The following is a 26,739-nucleotide window of genomic DNA, read 5'->3' on the forward strand; positions in this document are numbered from 1 at the left end:
TTGTTCCTCATCTGAGAACCCTGGCCACAATGTATGGTTATAATTTATTTTCATTGTTTCCTTCACTAGAGTGAGGACATAGAAGCCAAGTCTAGGCTATTCATTGTGGCCTAGCTTTTGGAGAACCTTTTTCTTTCTCTTGTTTTCATGCTTCTTTCACCCTTTTCTTATGCTATTTAGCCCTAAAGACATCCACTAATTGTTTATTTGCAGATGATTATACGTATTCTTTTACTGTTCGCCTCTTTTCTACAGATCAAACAGCCTCAATTCCCCTCAGTATGGGAATAACTCAGTGGCCAGATCCCTCAGCACTCTGCACACTCTAGTGCTTTTGACATCTGTTAGTACTTCCCTCAAAGAGTACAGCCCAAAATTAAGCAAACCGGTGCCCACTACAACTGACCAGCCCAGAGTGCAGTTGAGATTTTTCCAGATTGCACCCTATAGTCTTAACTCATTGATTTGTATCTCATAGTCAAGTTAGGATTGGATTATCTTTAAACCGATTTCCAGATTTTGATGACTTTGATTAATGCAATCTAACAGGGCACTAGGTTTGATTAGTGTGTGTGTGTGTGTGTGTGTGTGTGTGTGTGTGTGTGTGTGTGTGTGTTTTAATAACTTCATAGCATTATTGGTCAAACTGTGTTTGTGGTCCACTGAATCTTCCATGACTTCTTCACATGAACTGATGCCTTATCAAGTTCCCCTTACCCTGGGCTCCTGAAATTGTTCAAAAAGTCAAATTTATTATTGTTTTCAAAAAATATTTTACCCTGTCAACACCATTTTGAACTTTTATGCTGGCATCTATCATATTATATTAGTTATCTTTCTCCCAGATTCTAGTTAGCTACACACAGATCACTAATAACAAGACAGCATCAAGGACAGAGCCTCATGGCACTTTGCCCGAGATCTGTTTACAAACTGCTACTGACATTTTTCGTATAAAATTTTTATTTAAAAAATGGGGCATTCGTTTGTTAAGCCAACCGTGTAATGTCCTGAAAGTTTTATTTATGTACCTAGACTTGATATTCTTGATTCACTGATAAATTTGCCAAAGAGCAATGTAAAGGTGTCTGATGGGGTGTGTAACAAAATTGTGATGCAATGGTGGAAAGACCATGGACTTTGCCAGACAGACCTGTGTTCACTTAATTCAGACCTGTGATGGGGGCCAGGGTTGGTAATGGTGGTACAATAAGCAGTGGGATATTGAAGTCATAAATTTTCTATACGGTGTTATAATCTAGATTGTATAAAACATGCAGTAACTCTAGTTTCCATAACTGATCAAAACTTCATCATAAGCACCCATCTTTCACTGAATAGAAATGGGATGGGAGGAATTCTGAATAAATGCTTAGTTGTTCTCAGTTTCTCACCATTCTCTCTTCTGGAAAAACAACAGTGGGGTCTAGTTGGAGGCCTGCAAGACCTCAAGGTCAAGGTGGGGAGGCAACCCACCAGCCTTCACTGGCCTCCACTGCCAGGTGTGTATCCCACTGCTTCATTGGTGCCCTACTGACAACCACTGCTAACGTCCTTGTGGCCCCATACTGACTTGGTCCATCTAGGCTCACAGGAAGTAAAGATCCTTTTGTCTCCAGCACACCTTCCTTATAGCCCCAGGTGGGCTGCCTGCCCTCCCAAGCTCTGCTGCAAGGTCCCTGGGCTCCCACTGTCTTCTCTGCAGCCTGACTTACCTGCTGCAGGTGTACTAAGAGAAATTGTTCTCCCAGTTTCAAGCCAGAAATGAAGTACAAGCCCTTCTACTTTCTGTTATCTCCACAACCTCTCTGGAGTTTCTGTTATCCAGTGATCAACTGCCTTCTTTGGGTTTCTGACGTAAGGGTGCTCACCTACATGGACACATTTGCCATTCAGCCCTTCCCTCTCCTCCAACCCTCCACTTCTTAGGACAGGAAGTACTTCCTTCCCTTCCCCTAGGTTGGTGGTATCACCCTTTATAATTTGTGTTTTCTCTATAAAATACTCAGATAATAAAATATAATAATAAGACTTTCATTATATATAATTATAATTATATTTTATGCTCATAATAAAATATTCAGATATTCAAATTTTGCTTTTGATATGTAAAGCTGTGGTATTTGGAAATTCCTGTTCTCTCTTGACAAAGATAGCCTCATTTAACTACTGAAGCTAAACACTTCTTTTTCTTCTTATCTTGAGGTCTTTCTCTGAGGCACTGAACCAATGTGGTAGCCAGTAGCTACTGTAGCCATTAGCACTTGAAATATGATGAGGCCAACTATAGTACTAAATTTTCAATTTACTTGGTTTTAATGAAAAGGATTTCAAAAATGGTACTCAACTAGATTATTAGAAAATGTTAATATATGTTTGAAACAAATTGGGCTTCACATCTACTTTTTACACTGTAAATTTTATATCTAAATACAGAATAAGGATTTCAGATGAAAATTTAGTGTCTGAACTGAAATGTATTTTGCAAGTGTCAAACATACACTGGATTTAGAAAATTTTGAAAAAGAAAAATGCAAACTATCTTATTACTAACTTATATTGATACACGTTGAAATGGTAATAGTTTGGATACACTGGGTTAAACAAAATATTAAATATTAATATCACCTTTTTTACTTTTAAAAAACTATTAGAAAGTTTTAAATCATATATATATATATATATATATATGGTTCACTTTCTATTTCTATTGAACAATGCTGACCTAGACAAGAGCATCATAATTTAAAGGGTACGCAAAATGATCAGTGAATATTCCAAAAAAGATTATACCCGCTTCAGCAGTTACTGCTACTTTATTATTTTTATTTATTATATTGCTTCGAGTTGGGCACTGATCCTAAAACCATTTTCCAGGCTGCCTGAGCTGCGTTAGGCAACATTTACCTGCATATTTTTATCTACATTTATTTTTAAATATTTGTTAATATATTACCATGTCAAATGGTAAACAGTGCAATAAAATGATAATATCATGGAATTATTTAGGGTTTTCTAAGTTAAACTAATATATATATAGCCTATTTTTTCAGATTCTAATTATCATAATGGCTACTTTTTAAATATGTTACTTCATCAAAGTTAACCAGTTGTTTTGTATTTTATTGATACCTTTAGAGACTTAGGAGATTCCGTATTTAGTCAGTGTAAGCTTTGAGGAAAAGTTCAGCTTTAGGAATTTAACAGTCAGGGTTAAAAGTTCAGTCTACCACCAATTAGCTCTGTGACCTTACATAAATTACTGAACTTCTCTGACTCTTAGTTATATCACTTGTAAAATGAAAATAACTATGATAATCTGTAGGATTTAGAATGGCAATCACATAAGAAGTGTAAGTTTCATTGCCGTCACATGGCACCATGAGAATTTTTGTTTGCTTTGTGATTAGAATAAATTAAATGGATTAAAACAATATATTTGGATTAAAACTATACATGTGTTAGGAGAAATAATGTATTCTAACTTATGGGCATGGGGATAAAGCTCCTTATTGTATTTGAAAATCAAGAGTAAACATCCACTTTCTTTACAATATCCTTAATGGGTACCTAACAAAAGATTATGTCATTATGAACACAGAATTTATCCTGTAGCTGATGTCCTTGAATGAAAAACACTAAGGAGTCACAAATGTGATGTAAGTAACAACAACCTCAGTGTTCAGGACCAGCTGGTACATGAAGTTAAGATCTGAATATGCTCAGTAACTCTGCTGCCCTCAGCACAAAGGCCGATTGATGGTTTGGTTATGAATAACAGCTCCTTCATCACAGACACATTTACCTAATCCCTAAAGTGCAGCCATGGCTGATATTACATGGAGACTATTTATCTCCAGTATGACTCCCCCCTGACCCAATAAATATACTGCACATATGGCACTTCATCCATCAGCTAGAAGAACAAATACACTTTTGCTTGACATTATCATCTATGAAATCAAGAACCACACATATTCACCACTTAACATTTGTTTTCCATACACCAGATAGAAAGTGAGATGATATTTACATAAAGATAGCTTGTGATACGAGCAAAAATAAATAAATAAATAAGCTGTGTAACATCTGAAGAATTATCTGCAAGCAAAATATATTTGATTGCTATAATTCTATCCCATCATCTCCAAGATTTAAAATTCCCTGACTAGCAAGTAAGGAACTAAAATCAATATGTAAAAGACAAATCTGGAAATTTTAAATACTACAAAAATATGCACAAGACATTTGGGTGAATTGAAGGGTTAGATTTGGTATACCTTAAACAAAAATGAAGTAGAACCTGCAAAACTTAAAATACATAAATAAAAAATTTAAGTTTACTGTCAGGGACAAGAAATTAATAGTATAACAATAAAAGCATATTTCAAGTATCTCTGAATAGTCCTTAAAGCTGTCTGAAGTACTTAAATCTTTAGGACTCAAAATATTTCTCAGGATTTCTTCAGATAAGGAGAGAAACTATAATTAATGATAATGTGATAATCTATATGTCTGATCTTTGTATGATCTACTATGTACATAATATACATATATCATCTAGAACCAGAAAATTTTAAATATTAAGTCACAATTAGATTCTAGATTATGAGATACTGTTGAAATACTATCTTAAATTATATAATAACAGAAAAAGACTCATCATACCTTAGAAAGATAATATTGCAGCACATTATAGGTTTGTGATCAGCAACAAAATACTTTATCAGCTCCACACTAATTTCAATACATATAACTAATATTAATGACAGTGTGACATTTCAAAGGATGTCCTAAAATTTAAGAGTGTGCTTATAACGTATTTCTGACCTCATTTCTAACCCTCATTAGTGAGTAAGTAAAGGGCAGGGGAGAAATTTTCCAGGTTGGGTCCTCAGGAAGTGCTCTTCTTTCCCCCTCTCAAGGCTTGCGATTACCCTCCCCAACTCCTTTAATTTTCATTCAACCAAAAGCTTCCTACATCCATTCCCACTGAGTCCCCACCCAGCTTCCAACTCTCACTTTACACCCTTTCAAGAAGGAGGAAGGTGATGGGGATGAACCTCTGTGACCTCTCTTCTCCCACGCCTACCAGATTCTACCATTCACAACAAAAACTTCGTTTAAGGCATGTTAAGTTATCAAAGGTGTCAAAACACATCTCTTTGCTTAGTGTCTGCTTGCACCTCAAATCACATCCTCAGCCTTAGTCTCAGCTGTTGGAGGAGCAGGATGACTCTTTCTCACTTTGCTACCCAGTATTCTGTTCATAATTATTATAAAAAGAGTTATTTTTAAATAAAAATATTTATCTTTTTCTCCCATGCTAGCTTATATGGGATAGGAATATCCTTTTCTCTTTGTAACCTCAGCGCCTGGTATGGTTCTTGGCTCACTCTCAGTAACAGCTAATCATAATAAAATTTCATGAATGCTTACTATGTGTCAAGAACTGTGCTCGGTGCTTTACATGCACTCAATCAGGTAATCCAAACAATTCCATGACATTGGTACTCAACAACAGAGGTAACTGAGACACAGAAAGGTTAAGTAACTTATCGATGGACTTAAGGCTAAAAGGTGATGAAGCTGGGATTCAAACTCAAGCAGTTCAGTTACAGAGCCCATGCTCTAACAAAGATGCTATTAATACATGCAGTACAGGAGTCAAGGATCCTTTCTCCCTCAGCCTTGGGGAGGAAGGCGGGGCTGGAGTAGTCTTCAAGCAGAGGTAAGACTACTTACCTTCAAGAGCATGCCTGAAGGAGGAGCTGAAAATGACTCAGTGTGTCAGTCTGGAGGTTGTGTGGGTCGGGACGGGGGTGAGTACAGAGGGAAGTAGCAGGAATTAGGCCAGAGAGGTTAACGGGGGCCAGGTTCAAAAAGCTTTGTGTGCCAAGTGAAGGATTCGTATTAAAAGGAAAATGGGAGGCCATAAAGGGGATATGAGAATGTGACAGGAGTACACTTGAATTTTAAAATATCACTTTGGGAGAATCAGTTGCCAGTGCTGGATCATCACATCTTGAACTAGAGTCATAGCTGCAGTTATGAACAGACTGGAATATTTAGGATGTTAAACTGGCCAGAACTGTTGGTTAATTGGATGCGTGCTTATGTGCACCCATGAGTTTGAACTGGGTGAGGTCATGGGTGGAAGGTGAAAGTGCGGTGAGGGAGGAATAAAACATAACAAGTCTCAGGCCTCAGTGGCCAACAGAAGTTTCTAGGCAGGAAATCTATAGTTCCACTTGGAAGTACAATTATATCCAGACATATGACAAGAATCAAGATGTTCCACCTGCTTTCTCGTGGAAACACTGTACCTCATGGTAGTCCACGATTAATAATATATTTTAAGTACAACATGGGTTAAATAGGCTTTTGAAGGCTGAGTTAGATACCTAAACTCTGTGTATGACATGATTTCCATCAGGTCACAGTTTCAAACAACTGAGTTAAAACACCATCTAGGCCTCCGTGGAGACAGGGGTTATGTTTGTTTTGCCGCTTACTCAATACTCAGCCCTGGCACAGGGTCACTCAATGGGTGAATAAATGAACGTACTGCTTTGGAGAGCTGGGCTTGTGTATATCACACTGCTTATATATAATTAGAACAAAAATATATACAAAATGTACAGCAACTCTCACAATGAATAATCTATGTGACCTTTCAGCCTTATGCATTACTTTAGCTATTTTTTAGGTGTGTAGTAGTTACTATATTTTGGAAATGACCTCTAAGAAACTGTATTATTTTCCAGGAATCTATTGATTTTTCTAAAATCTAATGTACTTAACAGGCTATGGTAAAAGAATCTCTACTTCCCCTCTAGCCTGCAGTAAGCATGCACATTAGTTGGTTATAATGAGTGGATAAAGGCCCAGATAGCATCAGAGGATCTGAGTTCCAGTCTTGATCCTTCAGTACATTAGGGCTATGATGTTAGGTGGGTGATGACTTATCCTCATTGAGTCTCCTCATTGGTCAAATCTGGAAAGCAGCAAGGTCTGCTTTACTACAGCTCCACACTCCTTTATCTGAGCCCTCAAGTAGAGAAGTATTTCAGCATTCAGAACATTTTCAGATTTGGGGTAATATGATCTATGTACCGCCCATTGATACCTCCAGTGTGGTCCGGGCTGCACCCTATAATAAAACACATTCACATTTCTACCTCAAAACAGATGGCTACTCACAGTAAGCAGAATAAGTAAAGAACCCCAATAAATTCAGGTCAGATAAAGTTTTTCATCCAGGGACAAACAAAACAAAAATTTGTCTTGCCTTGCATAGAGAGGGCTTTTTAAAAAAAAAAAAAAGGTTTCAGTGGCTCATGCCTGTAATCCCAGCACTTTGGGAGGCTGAGGTGGGTGGATCACAGTCAGGAGATCGAGACCATCCTGGCTAACACGGTGAAACCCCATCTCTACTAAAAATACAAAAAATAAGCCAGGCGTGGTGGCGCGTGCCTGTAGTCCCAGCTACTCAGGAGGCTGAGGCAGGAGAATGGTGTGAACCCGGGAGGCGGAGCTTGCAGTGAGTTGAGATCGTGCCACTGCACTCCAGCCTGGGCGACAGAGTGAGACTCCGTCTCAAAAAAAAAAAAAAAAAAGGATTTCAGAATTAAGAATAAAGGATTATGAAACTGAGCTGTTCTGAGGACCAGATGAGATAATGACACTAAAGAACCAAGTGCAGAGATGAAAAGCTGAGCTTTGCATAACCAAAGCTGGTGCTGTAACTACTTGGCAGCTCCAATTATGGTGGCAGGAAGGCATTTACATCTAGCTCCGAAACCTGAGAAACTACTGAAAACATACTGACCATTCAAATAGCCAGAGAATGTTGGTTGATTTGGGAAGGCATTTCCTGGTAAAGGGGCTGCCAGGGATGGGGTTGTCTCTGATGCATGTAGTGATGTGAGGAAAGGCACCACGGGGCATGAAGTCAGGCAAGATTTGGGCAACGTGAGCAGATGTATCTGGCTAAAGCTGGAGAATCATGGTGGGAAAACTAGCTTGGCCTTGAAAGCTGGGTGAAGGAATTTGTTACTTACGCAAAAGGAGAGGGGGTAGTGTCCTAGGTGCTTGAGGGGCTAGAGGAAGATGTTTCTGGCAGGTGGTGCAGCATGGGCACCAGGGGAGGAAGACAACACAGGGATCCTAGGCTCTCATTGGCAGCATCAGGAGACATAGAAGTTGGAACCAGAAGGCAGAGAAGTTTAGCTATGCTTCTGGGATAAATGTCCATGGGAATGTGGGACAGAGGATAAATTATTTCACAGGCTTTTTCTCCCAACTCTTGCTTTTCTGGGAACTGGAGCTTGGGTGGCAATAGGACATATAGTGAGGGAGCAGAGCAGGCATGTGCTTGCTGATAGGTAGGAGCCAATGGATGCAAGCTTGTCATCCCTGGGCAAAACACAGAAAGGAAGAGTGGATGCAGACTGTGTGTTTATGGCAGATAAGAAAAGATTTCCTAGAATACCACTGAACATATAGTATATAGAAAAAGCTATTAATTAAAAGTTTAAAAACAGCTTGAGGCTTCATGAGAAAGAAAGAGTGTACAGAATACATTCATTCATTCCCACACTCATTTATCCAGTTTCAAATACTATTTATGGTGTCTTTCCCATGTCCTGGATAATGAGCTTGGGCTAGCAATATAGAGATAGGGAAGTCTGTTGCTGCTGACCTCAAGGAGCTCTTAGTCCAAGAGAAAGGAGAGACATATAAAAGACAAGTAAGAATAACTGAGGTGTATGTTGAAGAGCACAAATCACAGAAATAATTCACAGGAAATAGAAGTCACGTTGATCAACAGTTTCTTCTAAGTCTCAAGTATAAAAAGACTCTTTCCCTCAAGCAAAATGGAAGCAACCACCAACCCGGACGTGAGGGGAGTGTTAGGCAAAACTTCCTGTAGGGGCCATTTTTATGAGAGATTTAAAAATGAGGGAACAGGAGAAGAAGAGTGAGGATCATTTTTGAGGTGTTTGTATAAACATTAAGTCTGTGACATCCCTCCATCTGTGAAACACTTTATGGTTCATAGAATTAAAAAAAAATAAAGTGGAAGGAAGTTTACAGAAAATCCAGGGGCTTCTAAACCACATTCATGAATTCTTAGGTAATTCACAGAGGGGCTTCTGGAGCCTCTATGGAGTTGGGGGTGGATTACATGATTGCATGTTATAGGACTGGGTATATAATTTGTAGGGTCCAGTGCAAAATGAAAATGAATGACAGACCTGTTTTTCAAAAATCATTACAAATTACAAGATAGTGACAGCAGAGCATTAAGCCAAGTGCTGGAGACAGGACCTGAATCAGGTCACACATCCTTGAAGCCAGGTCCGCACATCATAATCTCCATTTTAGAAAGTTGTGTAGGCAATTATATAAAGAATGAATAATTTCAACCAGCAAGAGTAGGGGCTATTAGGAAATTTTTATTAGCAATCCAGGTAAGCCATAATGAGGGCCTGAACTAAGTCTGTACAAGTGGGAGAGGAGAGCAGTTTTATCATCCTAGGTAATACGACTGTTCACCTTTACTATTTAATTTTCTTCATTATATTTGTAATAACCCCCAATTTATGATATCAACACCATAGAGCTTCATGCAATAGAAAGTACCCAATAAGAAAACTTTAATGGGATAAGAAAAACCAATTATAAGAACAAGTCAAACGTCCCTATGATTCTATGTTAAAAATAGCCCCACTGAATTAGTGGGTGTCACTGTAAGTAAGTTAAACTTAAAAGCAAGGAATATGAGAACACAAGGGCCATTAAGAACAGTTAAATATAAGAAATATGCTTGCTTTATGTGCAGTGGTTCCTTTCGTGTTCCTTATCTGGCAGGTGCATGTTGATTACTTGCTCACTCTTTACTGAGAAGCCAGCAGTGCCAGAACACTGCTTTATGCCATGGCCATGTGAGTAGCAAAGAACCATGCTGGAAATCAAAATCCCACTCTCTTCCAAAAAACTACAGAGACATTCGCCACCCAGAACGAAGTGCCCAGGGTAAGGGACCTGGAATTCTGCATGGTCAGCCACCTCAACGTGCACCTGGGTTTACTGGCTGCAAGGGGGAGGCAATGGAATGAAGTAGTTCTGAGAACAGACACGGGGGACGTTCTGGATTCAGATCCTGTCTCCAGCATATACCAGCTGTGTGACTGTGGGCAAGTTAATGAATTTCTTTGAGCCTCAGTTTTCTCATCTTTAATTTGAGAATTATAATAGTACCTATGGAATTTGACTATAAGGATTAAATGAGATAATCTATGTAAAGCACTTAGCACAGTACTGGCATAAATAATAGAAGGACATTACTTATTATTCACACAAATACAGTGTACCCTTCTGTGAAAAAATAAGAGTTAAAAGGTCCTAAGTTTTAGGGCTTTTTAGAGTGTGTAAAGAGCATTCTGAAGTGGGCTGCTGAAGGGTCCTGTGCTGTGCAGATGCTGACACGGCCATAAGCAGCCATAGACTCAGCTAGAGACAAGGAGTCCTCCAGCCAGCATCTCCAAACCCAACCCAGTTGTTTCCACATCTACAGGCATGTTAGAAGTACTCAGAATTGTTTACTGGTGTGTAACAAAATTTCCTGATCCTCAGGATGTGCATGGATCCCCTTCAGGCAGTATCTCCAACTATGGGATTGCTTAAAAGTTTTCCCAGTTGAGACTGGAGTGGTGAAGAGGCTACTTAGTAGGAGGACGTGTGGGGTCTTCTATAAATGCCAAGGTGTATCAGACAGTCTCTGTTGGTTTTAACAGAATTGCCAGAGAAAATGCAAATGGTTACTTTATTTAAGGAATTAGACCTATTTATTCAGAACAATCGATCCTATGCTTTGTGTAGGCACAGCCTCTAAGTCTTGGGTATTTTTCCTGCATCAGAATACATTGAGACAATAGATTTATTAGAGGACAAGGGCAAGTCATCTATTAGAAAGTCTTACTTCCAAATAATGAGCACTGAATATATGGCTGTTGTTGTTTGAACCAATCAACCTATTTTTCTAAGTCTGGGTTGTATTTATGCCCCGGCTGGCATTGTGACAGCTATAGAGAAACAGTCTGTAGCCTCAGAGATGTTATAGGCTACATGAGGTAGGAATACACACATGATAACTGGACAAGGGTAATCTCTAACCTTTTTAAGAGCCACATTACCAAGGCCTGCAGAGATCAGAACATGGGCAGTGGCAAACTAAGGGTGGGCATAGCAGCAGTCTGCCCAGGTGCAGGCAGTGAGGGGATGCAACAGTAAAACCTACTAAATGTCTATCTGCTCTTTATTGTTGCCATGCTCTAGCAATTCTAAGCAGTGTCAGTGATAACATACTCCTGCCTTCTAAATCTCTTGTTGATTGTGGCACACTGTATTCTCCAAAGATGGCTATAACAGTCTCTAACCCCTTGCATTCTTGAATCTTCCCTATCAAGAGGTAGAGTCCAATTCCCCTCCCTCTGAATCTGAGCAGCCTTAGCAATTTGCTTGTATCAAGAAAATGCAGTAGATGTGACACTATGAGCTCATAAGATTGAGCTCATAAGACACATTTCTGCCTGGTTCACTGGAACACTGGTGCTTGGAGTTCTGTAGGAAGCTGCACTCCCTGGAGCTGCCTCACTGTGTGGAAGCCAAGGCATGTGAGAAGATTATGGGTAGGCTGTTGTGGTCTTCACCTTCTCCTAGCCCAGGTGCAGTAAGGTGAATGAACAATCCTTTGGATAACTGCATGTCCTGGCTATCAAGTCACCTTTGAAGTCAGCCTTTGAATCTTCCCAGTTAAGGTTGGAAACACCATGGAGAAGAGAAAAGATAGCCACATTTTGCCTTTTTCACATATCTGACCTACAGAGTCTGTGAGCATAGTAAAATGGTTGTTTTATGCTAAGTTTGGGGTGGCTTGTTAAGGAGCAATAGTAAACAGAACATTGATATAAGTTGAAATAACTGTTGCAGTTATTGTTGAATATTAAAAATATGTATGTAAGCTTTAAATAAGCATACTTTTGTTACATAATCTGTAATAAATACTGCATTACACATGGAAATTAATTCAAAGAATGCCCACCTATATACATTTGCCCCCTAGCAGACATGTGGACTCATCTACTCATATTCATCTGGAGAGTAAGCTCATAGAGGGTGGGAATCATTTGTGGCTTTTGCTCCATTTAGTGTCTCCAGCCCCTGTGGTGATGCATTTAAACAGTAGTTTTGAAAAAAAGCAAAAAGAAAAAGGAAAAAAAAAGACATGATAGCATAGTAATTGTAAAAATGAAGAAAGAGAACTTGAGCTATTTCAATTCTTCCAATCTATGTGACCACCTGGAGTTTTTATTCATGTCTAAAACTTAAAATAATAAACTAGTGTGAATGCAAAGTATAGTATTTTATTTGGGAGGCTGAAGTGGGAGAACTGCCTGAGCCCAGGAGTTCAGGGCTGCAGTGAGGAATGTACAAATAATTAAGCAGCCTGAGAAACAGGGCAAGATCGTCTCAAAAAAAAAAAAAAAAAGTATAGTATTTTTACTGGGTAAGTGCAAATTTTAGTCGATACATAAAATAGCATATTGAATATTTATAGCTTTAAAATTAAAATACATTTATATATTTATATAAATATAAATATATTTATTTAAATTACTTATTATATATTCAAAGTAATATATATCATTCTATCACAAAGACACATGTATATTCACTGTACCACTACTCACAATAGCAAACACATGGAATCAACTATGGGCTCATAAAAGAAGATGAAGTTCTGCCCGGTTCACTGGAACACTGGTGCTTGAAGTCTAAATTCCCATCAATGGTAGACTGGATAAAGAATATGTAGCACATATATACCATGGAATACTATGCAGCTGTAAAAATAAATGAGATCATGTCCTCTAAAGGAACATGGATGGAGCTGGTGGTCATTATCCTTAGCAAACTCATGCAGGAACAGAAAACCAAAACCAAATACCACATGTTCTCACTTACAAGTGGGACCTAAGTGATGAGAACACATACAGAGGAACAACACACACTGGGGCCTATTGGAGAGTGGAGGGTGGGAGGAGAGAGAAGATCAGGAAAAACAACTAATGGGTCCTAGGCTTAACACTTGGGTGATGAAATAATTTAGACAACAAACCCCATGACACATGTTTACCTATATAGTAAACCTGCACATGAACCCCTGAAATTAAAATAAAATTAAAAAATTAAATATATATTAAATTTTTTAAATTTAACCATGCATATATAGTATATTTTAAAAATATACTTTACCTATTCTTATCTTAAAAATAAAAAATAAATCAATAAAATAATGATTATTATCACATAGTTATTACTGAAAATAATTTTTCCATATAGAGGAAGGGATGCTAAAAGTGATTTGCTTTTGTGTCAAATATGCTAGGTGCACCACTGAAGATGTGCAGATTAATTTTAAATAAAAAGATGAGATAAAGCCTTAAAAAGGGGACCAGCCTTAATCCAGGTTGCTAAGGTAAAAAGAATTTTTTTCCCACTACTTAGCATCTAACCCCTTTCTTGTGATTGGGAAATTCTCCACATGTATTGTCTCCTGTGTGGGAAGCATATATTCTATGCCACCACCAAAACTAAACAAAAATCTGAGTGTGGCCTTCCTCAAAGCCTTGGCAGGCAGGCCACTGGCACGTGATCCACACTCAACCAGATGCTCTGCAAATGATGCAAAGAAGTGGGTGAAGTGAAACATCCCCACCACTGGCAGCCACAGTGGTGGCAGTGCAGGTGGAGGCATGGAGAAGTGGTGGTGCCAGCGATACCTGGGTCCTGCAGTCACAGCCGTGTGTATCCTCAGCGTACCCTTCCTGTTGTCTGGTCTTGGCTGTGGTTCTGGCTGCTTAGGTTCTATCAGTTCCTGCTCATTCCCTGAGCCTCATTTTCGAGCCTCTCCTTTCACCTCATTTTGCTTAAATCAACTTGACTCATTTTCTATTATTTATCGTAGAGAACGCTAATGGACACACAAAAAGGTGAATATAATTTTGACGGGTGATTATGGAGGTTGGAGGCACTGGAAATGTAGGCTGAGAGAATAGCAGAAATAGTCTAGTGTAAACGAGTGGAATAGAGTGATCAAATGTAGTCTAATATGGACTGGGTTCACATGAAGTGAGAGAGGGCATTATGCAGTAAGGGAGGGGGTTCAGGTTGGGCACCAGGACAAAATGCCATAGGCCGAGTGGCATAAAAGACAGAATTTAATTTTCTCATAGATCTAGAGACTGGAAGTCCAAGATGAGGGTGCTGGCATACTTGAGTACTGGTGTGGGCTCTATGTGGCTTGCAGATGCTGCCCTCTTGCTGTGTCCTCACATGGTGGAGAGAGCTAGGAAGCAAGCTCTCTGCTGTCTCTTCTTATAAGGACACAATCCCATCATGAGGGCCTTACCCCTTCATGATCTCATCTAACCCTAATCAGTTCCCAAAGGCTTCATCTCCAAATATTATCACTTAGGGGTTAGGGCTTCAACATATGAATCAAGGGAGGAAAAAATTTAGTCCATAACTGGAGGGAAGACAGCTTTTAGCCAGGGCTAAGAGGGCCTTGTATAGCACACGTAGGAGTGTAACGCTTGAAAGGGCTTTCACTGGGAGGGCAGGCTATGGAGAGCTTTTATGCAAAGGGATAAGCGCTTATAACTCATGCTTTAGGGGTGTTACTCCAGTGGCAAAGTGCAGAATGGACAAGGATGAGAAAAGAATTATGTTAGGAAGCTTATTGGAGATGATCCTGCAATAGTCAAGGCAAACAACACAAAGAAGGTAAATTCAACCAGTAGAATAACATATATGAAGAGTCTGGATTTCAGAGGTATTTCAAATGTGGAACCAACAGAATTAATCAGACATCTGGATGCGGGGGTGTGGAAGAGGGAGGAGCTGAGAATGACTCAGAGATTTCAGGCTTGGGTAACGAGGGTAGGAATGTCAATAATCAAATCAGAAGACACAAAAGCAGGAGATGGCTGGGAGCAGTGGCAAGATCATGGTTTCGGTTTTTGAAATTCTGCAAGTAAGGTGCTGATGAGACACTCCAGAGATATGTTCAAGTTAGGCGTAAAGTCTGGAGCTGAAGAGAGAGGTTAAGGCCAATGAAGGAGTTGTGGGGTTCACTTGAAAGGCGTGGAGGTGGGAATAGATGGGATCACTGTTGGAAGGGATAACAGAGGGAAGAAAAGATCTAGAACAGAAACTCGGTAATTGCTGGTAACAGTTTTCTGACATTGCAATGAAGCACTTAATGAGAAGAAAAGCAAATTTGAAGAATATAATGTTTCCAACATATTAAAAAGAGAAAAGCTCAAATAGAGGGAATAATTAAGAGTATCTATGCTACTGAGAAGGCCAGCAAGACAAGGATCTGAAGAGGCTCTTGATAAGATCTGGGGGATGAGGTCTGAGGAGTGGTTTCAGGAGAGTGAGTGTGCATATGTGTGTTTGTGTGTGTGTTGTGGAGGTGGAAGGGGCAAACCCCATGTAACCGGTTTATAAGGTGAGAAAGTGTAAAATAGTCTTTCTAGAAATTTCTTTCAAAGATGCGACGGTAGCTTGAATTAACGGAATTTATTTGTGTGGTTGTGGGATTTTTTTTTTTTTGATAGTGGAAGTTTTAGAATGTCCAAGGAGAAAATATTTCCCTATAATGTATAGAAGTTAATAGCATAAGTCTCTATAATAGAAAGATGCCTGATTAATGTATTTGACAGAACAAAGCAGTAAATACACTGTACATAAAGTATTTAGCACAGTAAGAACTCAATAATTATTTTTATACCTCAAATTGCTGTATTATTATAGAGAGATTTCTATTTGTTCTTTGGAGACTTTTGTTCTCCTTCCAAGAGTTTCTTTAAATGCCATAAACAAACAAATAGCTCAAAGCAGACTGTGCTTATAAGAAGAAGGTAACCTTTCTTGTAATACAACAGAAGAAGTACCAAGAAATCTCCTCGATTTAAATGCATCCTCAATTTAGAAGGAGTTTGATAACTGCAATTACAGATACATATATGTATACGTATATATATATATATATACACATATACGTATACATATATATATACACATATACGTATATATGAGAGATAGAGAGAGAGAGGAAGAAAGAGAGAGAGAGAGAGAGGAAGTCTCGCTCTGTCGCCCAGGCTGGAGTGCAGTGGCGCAATCTCGGCTCACTGCAACCTCTGCCTCCTGAATTCAAGCGATTCTCCGGCCTCAGCCTCCCGAATAGCTAGAATTACAGACATGCACCACTGCCTGGTTAATATTTTTTTGTATTTTTAGTAGAGATGGAGTTTCACCCTCAAGTGATCTGCCCGCCTTGGCCTCCCAAAGCTCTGGGATTACAGGCATGAGCCACTGCACCCGGACTACAGTGCTATATATTTTTTCCTATATGTTAAGGCACTTAAAATGTAAATATATTTGACACAGGGAGGATCAGAGAAGATACTATATCACGCTATTAATCTCTGGCTGTGCATTAGCTTGTTAGATCCTGTCTGCATTAGAACTAGGTGAAAGCAGTGTGGCAGCCACAGAGGTAAATTTCTCTAATCTCTATTTCAAGAAATACTGTGTCATTGTGCTGTAAGGAGACCAGTGAGCTGAGTTTCCACCTCTAGTGCACTGGATGGTAAAAACTCCCTGCTGGGCTGGCCCCTACAAGCATGGAGAAAGTGATAGCTCTATCTGAATGAGGGTGAATTTCCTGAATTGTCTTGGCAAATGGGTAGAAGGAATTAAAAGGCTCCAGGAAGTGGGCATTGCTGGAATGTACACATCATGTGAGAACTGAAGGCCCACCAGATGATATTAGCCTTGAGGGGTGGACACCTCATTCACTGAGGCATCAGAGTGTACTGGTGAGAGGGACACCAGCATCACCCAGAAGTTCAGTGATACCTTTCCTCTGCAGGTCAGGGCTGATGGTAGGGGAAGCTGTCACAAAGCTGGGTGTCTTAATATCCATGGGGATTACAGCATCCCTGAAGAAAGAGAAGCCAGGTGCTGGGCTTAACCACCACAAGCCAGTGGGTCCCAATTGTCATAACAATGCACAAAGCCAGAGTGACAGCCAAAGGGACTTAATACACAGAAAGTTATAGAGGTGGTTTATAGAACATAGCATCCCTTAGGGGCAAAATAGACGGGGAGCCACGAGACTACCTAATATATATCATCCCAAGAAAATGGGAATGTATGACATGAGGGTGGGTGCCCCAGGGAAAATCTTCAACCCTTTGCACAGTTACAACACTGAATGACTTCATTGCCTGAAGAGGCATCAGGTCCCCAGAGGGAAGGACCCTGAAACTCTGTAGGAGGTATACATTGTAATGATTTCCCCAGTCCTTCTTCAAAAAGACCCACAGTCATTTACTCAGGTTTCCATACACTGGAGAAAAAAAAATATCCAGATATTTTGAGGATGACTGGACACAGGGTCTGTGTAGACAATGATACATGGAGACCTGAATTAGTGTCATCACGGTCCCCTGTTAGAGTAGGGACATATGAGCCTAGGTAATAAATAAGTCCAGGCCAAAGTCTGGCTGAAAGTGGATCTATTAAGTCTCTGAGCATATGCAGGGGTCATTTCCTCAGTCCATGAGTGCATAAATGGGGATGCACAATACTTGACAAGAGGAGTAACTACTTATTAGGGGAATTTAATTGAAATATTCGGAAACTCCAAGATAATAAATAAAAAATACTACTACATTATTGAAGGGAGGATAGTGAAGATTTAATGTCACCTCTCAAGATCTCAATAATGCAGGAGTGCTGGTTCTTCTATTTCCATGTAATTCACAAGACTGTTCAGATCCTGAAGGATAAGTGTAGACCACTGAATCTTCAACCAACTAATATTGGCCATTGATTTGTTTAATGGGTTGTTTCCAATTCCATTCCAAAAAGAGGATGAGGAACAGTTCACATTCACCTGGTACAGGCAATTCCTTACATCACAGTTGATGTCAGTGCTATATTAACCCTCCCACTCTCTGCCATAACTTAGACTAAGGAGATAGAGATAGTTTGGATGTCCCCCAGTTTAGTCATTGATCACTTATATACAAGACATCATGCTGACAAGATAAACAAGAGTTGGCTAGCACACTGTAGGCCTTGGTAAGACACATGCATTCCAGATTTGGGGAGATAAATCCTACAATACTCAGGGCCTAATGACATCAATAAAGATTTTAGGGATCCAGTGGTCAGTGGCATGCTAGACATTCCCTCCAAAGTAAAAGACAATTACTGCATCTCGTACCCCTACCACAAAGAAGGACGCACAATACTTTGTAGATCACTTTGGGTTTTGGGAAAAATACCTCCCATATCAGTAAGTATTGCTCTGCCCCATATACTAAATACTATTATCTGAATGTGTGTATCCCCCTCACAAATTTATATGTTGAGATCCTAACTCGCAAAGTGATGGTATTAAGAGGTGGAGTGCTTAGGTTTTGAGGTCAGAGCCCATAGAGCTAGCTCATACTTTCCACCATGTGAGGGCACAATGACTAGACACCATGTATGAACCAGAAAGCAGGCCCTTGCCAGACACTAAATTACCAGAGCCTTGATCTTGGACTTTCTAGTCTCCAAAGCTGTGAGAAATGAATTTCTTTTGTTTATATGCTATACCCAGTTTGTGATATTTTGTTAGAGCTATCTGAATGGACTAAGATACTGGGTGGCATACAAAGCTGCCAACTTTGAATAGAACCTGAAGCAAGAAAGGGCTCTGCAGCAGCAGGTACAGGCTGTGGGGAAAGCAGCTCTGGTACCTGGGCCATGGATCCAGCAGACATTCTAGGGATTGATGTGTCAGTGGTGGGAAAACATAGAGTCTGGAGCTTATGGCAGGCTCCAGTGGGAGCATCGCAATGTATGCCCCAGGGGTCCAGGAGTAAGGCCATGTCACCTGCAGCAGATAATTGTGTCGTTTGAAAAGCAGACTCGAGCATGTTACTGGGCCTGACATCAAATGACCATGTATTCAGAGCTGCTCATTATAAGTTGTTGTTGTTTTTCTGTTCCACCTTGTCAAAGTGATATTACCTACCATGGAGTTCTACCCAGCTATAAGCACTGCCAGTGTTAGTTTTGTTGTTAGGCAGTCAATTGTTGCATATGGAAAAGAAGTTAAAAATACTTAGAAGTTGTCACTTTAAAAAGCAAAGCTCTTTAACACCTTAGATGATATGTAGAGCAGAACATATAAAAATTATAAAATATGCATTCACTTAAAATTAAAGAACAATTAAAATCCAATAATCAAGACTATCTATATGGCTTTTAGTGCTTGAGCTACCTGGTCACCTGGAAAATAGGACATAAGACAGGAATTTCTGGAGCACACACGTTTTCAACTATCTTCCTAATTCATATTATGCATCATTTAATTAAAATCAACTAACAAGTTTCCTTCACTTACTGTGTGTGAGGCACTGCACTCTGGGGATAACTCAAAATTTGGCTGCCTTCTTTTCAATGGGGGTACCTTCCAGGAGGTAGTGTGATGTAAAAGACCAAATATCGACTTTGGAGTCACAGTGGCCTGGGTCACATTCCTGGCTGTAAAACAGACTAGCTGAATAACCCTGGACAAGTCAACTAGCTTCTCATAGTCTCAATTTTGTTACCTGTGAAATAAATACAGCCATACTTTCATTTCAGCCACTCTAAAGAATTAGCCATATAAAGAGGTAAGGTAAAGTAACTAGTACGATAGTAGGCCAATAGTCACTTTTCAGTAAATGGTAACTGGGACATAGGTTTGAAATAAAACAGCAGAACAATTGGACCATGAACTCGGCCACATTTAGCCATAGTGTAAGTAAGCTGGTGATGGTTTAGAAACTCTGAGGTGGACAATGCAGTACTGGCTCTAGGTCTAGATCTGACTTGCCTATTCCTGTGCTTTAGGAGAAAGTGCTTAGAGATTCCCTAGCAGCTCCAATCTGTACTCACCCTGCCATGGCTCAGGCTTGGCAGCTCAGAGTCCCAGCTTACTCCATTCCTCAGAAACTATGACTTTCATTTCATTTCATCTGGTCTTGGTCACATCAGTATAAGGGCTCTCAATCTTAAGGAAACCAGCTAAATCCAAATCCAAATCCAAATCCTGAGACTCTGTCTAGGGATTTTGATTTTATGCCCAAGATTCTGTGTTGATCTTCTTAAAAGCTTTCCCTCGCCTTTAGTTTCTTTCAATTTTAATTCTCTCTTTACTCTCTACCAGACCATTTTTAAGCTGCCAAAGGAGTTTATAACAGTATGTAGAGACTTTATGCATTCTAGGTATTCAATATATATTTATGGAATTGAATCAAACACAGCCATTCTGAAGCACTGCTTCTGTAATGTCATTTCTCAGTTCCACATTGCTTTTTAATTCAAGTCATAAAGCCTCAGGTTGGTTTACAAAGTCTTCCTGATTTATTCACCCTTGCTAATCCTTAAATCCCACAGTTCCAAATGTACACCCTCGTGCTGAGGTTCCCCCTTACCTGTTTCTGATTGTTTCAGTGTTTCTTGTTCTTTGCCTTTGCTTCTGCTATTGCCCTTCCCTGGGACACTTCTTCTCCCCCTGTTCAAATCATGTCCATCTCCAAGACTCACCCCAAGTACCACTCACCTCTGAAGCACTTCCCGTGATGCTTGCCAGCAGGACCTCATCCCTCCTGGACATTGGGTGGGACTCATCATTACCAGATACTCTTACAATCATATTCCATAGAGAACTTTATTAGACCCCCTACTCAGGGCAGACTAATCCAGCATTACAGTAAGCACAGTACCTAGGGCCCATGACACTTTGAAGGACGCGTGAAAATATCATAACTTTTTTTTAGAAGCGGAAGGTAAATGTGAATTTTTAGGTGAAAAGAAAATGTTTAATGTATAACATTTATATATTATTTTTATAGAACTACACTTGTAAAATATCATTTTTAATTTTATTTATGGTGGAAGGGGCCCATGAAGGCAAAAGTACCTAGGGTCCATGGAAGTCATAATACAGCCCTATCTTATAATGTCCTAGAATAGAAAGTCCTCTTTTCTTAATTAGAATGTTCAAGAGGCTATCAGCAGTCCCCAAGCCGACGTTTGCTAACATAAGAAACCCCAGACACATAAATATAATTCTGACATATTTTTCAATATTTCAAACAGCCTAATCAAATAGTATATTTATCCATCATAAGCCCACATGCATTAACCAAAACGTCAATGTTCTTTGCTTTTGGCTGGGAGTACACTAAGTCATTTGGCAACACTGGTGATCTCATGCTGCTTAGTGGTTGTTGAAGACATGGGAATTTCTGTGATGTGACTGAAGAACCAGAAAACCATTATAAAGCCACATGTCAATCACAGAATACCCAAATGTAAGTGTCTTTTACAGAAGCCAAGTAAAATTAAGGTAAGGATGCAGAGTATCTCTAGGTCTTTAGTCATTTACTTAACTGTTTATTATCATCCAAGCCATTTTAATAGCTGTATGTGTGTAACTGCAAAACAGCATTATTATATTTTATGATTATGAGCAATTATTTAATATCTGGGCCTAAGATACAATGGGAAAGTATTTTAAAGATTTAAAAAGTGTTTTAAAGATTTTAAAACACGCAGTTCATGGAGTAGTGTGGGGAAAGGGAGACAGGGTTAATAATGAAAGGGGTCCATGGTAGTGAAAATATTGGAACCCAGTAGATACCTCACAAATGTCTTTTGTACTCTCCCCCAACTACATCAATAACACTTAGCTGAAGGCTAATAGGTGAAACATCAATCGACTAATAATAGTGGTCATGGCACCAGTTGTCATAATAATAGTATAGCAGTCACAGTATGAGTGCATGCTCAGTAAATATTTTTGATGTATTACATAGCAGATGCTTCATCAAATTTGCTTGTTTGACATTTAGAGCACAGGGACCTTATACGTTTCAGCATTACATTACGCCTAAGCAGGGAGCTTTAGAGGAATGGCCTTCTGATGGCAGCTATATCTCATTTGCCAGTGAAAAGAAGTACATGATGGCAGCCTGGAGCTTTTCATTTGGCTCACCCTATTGTTTCTACTCCAGACACAATCCCTGACCAGTCTCATGAAATCACCTGCTACAAGTAAACGGACATGCACTCCCTGAATCCTTATACCTCCAAGTGAGGGCTAGCTCATGCTCCTGTACAGAATTAGGTAATAAGTCTCAAAAGAAGAGAGGGGCAAACAGACACTAGTGGGTTGTGTTTATTTAACCCTTGTCTCAGCAGCCTGTGAGCAGTGATTGTTGTGCATGGGACTTTGTGAGCTTATTATAAAAGATGGCTGTGTGGGAAGTGAGAGTGGGATAATGCCAACGATTGGCCACCAATGAGGAAGGGGAGAGAGGGAATGATATTTTAGAGTTTCCACCAGTATTCTGGGAAAAGACTGGGATAAATCGTTTAATGCCACAAATTCTTCCCATCCCAGTAAATTCTCCTCATTACAGTGTGACTTCGCTGCACCTCCCATCTCTAGGTGGAATCTATTTCTCTACCCCCAACAATCTGGGCTGGCCTTGTGATTTCTCTGGACAATAAAATACAGTGACAGAGATGTGTAACAAGCTTAGGAACCTAAGTCTTAAGATACCCTGCAGCTTGGGTCATTACCCTATTGGAAGGCGGCTCTGAGATGCCATCAGGGAAGATGACCCTTGTGAGAAAGACCTGTTGAGAAGGAGAGAGGCCCAGCTATTTGTGCTGTCTCGGCTGAGCCCAAACCCCAGATCTCTGAATTAGCTGAATGTGTCATGTGAAAGAAGCAAGGATTGACTAGCAGGAAAACTGCAAGTCAACCCTACGTATCCTGACAGTAACAGATTGTTGTTGTTTTAAGGTCTAGGGTGGTTTATAATGCAGCAACACGTAGCGGAAACAGAGGCCAATAAATGTAACTGACCCTTTTTCCTTGACATTTTCAAAAATCTAAGGTCAGAATTGGAAGTGACCCGAGGAGGTCATTTCATGTCTGTCTGTTTCAACAATTTATATGAGGTTAACTGGAAATTCACCAAACATAATTATTCATTCTCAACCTTGAAGTTCATTTGCTTTTAATTGAAAAAAACTTTACCCATTTATATGAAAAGAAATACCACAAAGGTAAATTTAAACATTCTAATGTCACTGAACACTGAATTATAAATTTGATGACTGAGAGTTAAATAACTCTCACAATTTTTTTTTTCCCGGAGAACCAATGGTACTTACAAAAATAGGAATAGAGCTTTTTTTTTTTATTATTCCTGAAAATTTTCAGTAAAGCAAAATAAACCTCCATGATCAACTTAGCACCAAAGCCTTAATTAAAGTCAGATGTTAAGGGAGAGTTCAAATTCCTCAGTTTTATTTCCTAATCCACACAAAGAGGCATCAGAAACATATTTCTCAGTTATTATTTACGTACTCCATAACAGGGCTCATTGATTTTTATTTATGCATTTATGTATGTTTATAACACCAACACTAAATTAAATCAATATGCCTTTAACTAAATACAGCCATAAGACCATTTCCACAGAGGATATTGAATATATGGCTGTTTTCTATTTACTACCCATCAAAATTCTGGCAAGCATTTCATGAGACTGCATTAGTTTGAAACACCCCAACATTCCTATTATCAACTTTTCCCAAGGTGTCTCTAGTGAAAGTGGGAAAAAATATATTTGTATGTAAGTTCAAATATAACAGCAAAGCCTGCCTATAAGGCTTACATTTGCAGCAGGAGTTATATTCAGAGTTGCCATAGCAGCCACCCACACTCACACACACACACAAAGGGGTGGTGGGGTAAGACAGAGAAACAGCAGAGAACAGAATCTATTGTTAAAAAGACAGAAGTACCCATCAATGTAATTACAAGCAGGAATCCTAGTTTGTAGTCTGAACCAATGTTTAACAGTACAACACTTCCCAGTGCTGGAGTGTCTATTAAGGGATTTTGCTCTAAATGAATCTACCATCTGCACCCTTGGCTTTACAGTTTACTGGATGCTGGTATTATGCAGGAAAGAATTCAGCAGCAGATGCACACACTAGGGCTAAAATAATCTAATGTTTCCTTCTCTGGAACATTCAGAAACATCGCCACCAGAAAAATTTGTGGTTCTATGGATCTGAGAAAGTTACTTTACTTTTTGAGTCTCCTCATTTATAAATGGGTAAAATAATATCACGTACTTTAAGAAAATGCTACGAGGATTCAATAAATTATCACAAATTATCAATTATTAAATAAATAATAATGATAAATAACTTTAAAAATACAAAGGAACTAGTAAAGTATTAACTAAGTTAGTAAAAGTGAAGCAATTGGTGCCTGACACATGGTAAATGTTCAACAAATGTTTGTTATAATTATTATCATTAATATGTCCCAATTTTTATTATAGAACAGTATGATTTATAATTCAGAAGTTTATAAAACAAATACATGCCAGTGGCCAGTAGACTGGAGCAAGACAAGATGTTGAGATTCTTCTAGTGCATAAACAATAATACTGTCTCCTGTAGCAATGCCTTTGAAACACTATTTTGCCAGAATAAAAAGGCCAAGTATATTATTATAGCAGCACAATCAACACCACTGGCAAACATTGGTTACACAGCAAAATCTAACATGTACTGTGTTTTAAATTTTTATTTGCTTATTTATTTAGAGACAGGGTCTTGCTCTGTTACCCAGAGTGAAGTGTAGTTGAGTGATCATAGCTCACTGTAACCTCAAACTCCTGGACTCAAGAGATTCTCCCGTCTTGGCCTCTCATGTAGCTGGGACTACAGGCATGCAGCACCACACCTGGCTGAGGTTTTGCTTATTTTTTTTTCTTTCTCTCTCTCTTTTTTGTAAAGATGGGATCTCCTAGGTTGCCTAGGCTGGTCTCAAACTCCAAAGTGATCTTTCTGCTTTTTGGTCTCCCAAGGTTCTAGTATTACAGGCATGAGCCACCACGCCCCATCTGAATCTAATGTCTATTAGTATTAAAATATTTGTATAAGAATATTTGGGGTCAGAGAGCATTCTGGAATTTGTCTCCCATCATTGGCTAGGTCACGTATTTATATGCAGATATATTTGCAATTCATACCCAGATACAAATATGAACATCAAATTTAGACGTGATGGCAATGAGTGAAAAGTACTTTGTGACTTCTGATTCACTCAAGTTTCAATCCCTGTTTTAAGGCTGAGTGCTTCATATTCTAGTAGAGGTGAAACATGTAGCCAAGAGATTTCTTGAATAGGAAAGAATATGCATGGGCTACCATACCTCATATCAGGCCCAAAGGTACCTTAGAATGTGCAAGAAAAAGCAATGCTGATGGGCTAAAGAAAACAGGGGAAATTAGAAGAATAGAGTTTGGGGACACAGTGAGATGGCAAGGAGAGAGTTGTAACAGACAAACTTCAGAAAAGTTAGGAAGCAGTGAAAGAGAAAATAAATAAGATAGGATAAAGGAAAGAATCCTTGACTCCATAAAAAGTTTCTGGATGGGATTTTTAAAATGTCCAGGCAGTGAGGGATAGAATTAACTTGGCTTAAAAACTTTAAAAAATGTTAAAATGCATACTCTATGGTTCTAAAATTATCCTGCCATTGTAAATGTTACGTGTAATGCTGTATTTCCTTCCTAAATTGTCCTTTTATTCAGTAATCTTTATTTGAATCTCAAGTAGAGATGTCACAAGGTATTCCATATATTCTTTCTGCTTTTAGAAATAACATGATTGTATTGAAAACATTTCCATTATCAAATAGCTCTCTGAGGGTAAAAAAATAATTCCAAGTTTTTCCAAGTCATTAGAAATAATCAAATTTGGTTTCGAATTGGTCCTGAGATTTTACAGATCTCTTGTTAATGAGCTGAAATTGGAAGGAAGTAGATTTGGCACCACTGGGAAGGAGAACCCCAGAAGACATTTAATTCTCTGATCTGGCCGGGTGCAGCAGCTCACGCCTGTAATGCCAGCACTTTGGGAGGCCAAGGTGGGCAGATCACTTGAGGTCTGAAGTTTGAGGCCAGCCTGGCCAACATGGTGAAACCCCATCTCTACTAAAAATACAAAAATCAGTCGGGTGTGGTGGCACACACCTGTAGTCCCAGCTACTCGGAAGGCTGAGGCAGGAGAATGGGGTGAACCTGGGAGGCGGAGCTTGCAGTGAGCTGAGATTGCGCCACTGCACTCCAGCCTGGGTGACAGAGCGAGACTCCGTCTCAGAAAAAAAAAAAAAAAAAAAAATCTCTGACCTTATTGGGGTTTGTGGAAAAGCCTACAGGGAACGCGTTAGGAGTCCACCTCCTGAGCTGCAAGGTACATCCTTGTGAGGAGGGAGAGGCTGATGGTACCATTGTTGGGGACAAGAGCTGCCTGCCAAAGCTGCCCTTCTTTTTCCTTCTGCATATGGGTAATGCACTCACTCACTTCCAACTAAAGGTCCTAGGATAGCTGCCTGGGGGCCTGGCTCTTGCCACTAAGATGGTGGCCAATACTCTCAAGACTAAAGGAAAAAATAGAATTTCTAAGGACACTTTGGTTAGTTCTATGAGAAAACGTTAAACGCTAATTGAGATATG

The 26,739-nt window shown here is 39.3% G+C and overlaps 1 protein-coding gene across 3 annotated transcripts in view; it reads right to left on the bottom strand.

Moving 5' to 3' along the window:
* Positions 1–26,739, bottom strand: part of PLPPR5 (phospholipid phosphatase related 5) — a 115,542-nt gene that overhangs the window by 35,637 nt on the left and 53,166 nt on the right. The gene's annotated exons all lie outside the window — the stretch shown is intronic.

The sequence above is a fragment of the Homo sapiens genome, chromosome 1, assembly GCF_000001405.40.
Source record: "Homo sapiens chromosome 1, GRCh38.p14 Primary Assembly".
Taxonomy (NCBI): domain Eukaryota; kingdom Metazoa; phylum Chordata; class Mammalia; order Primates; family Hominidae; genus Homo; species Homo sapiens.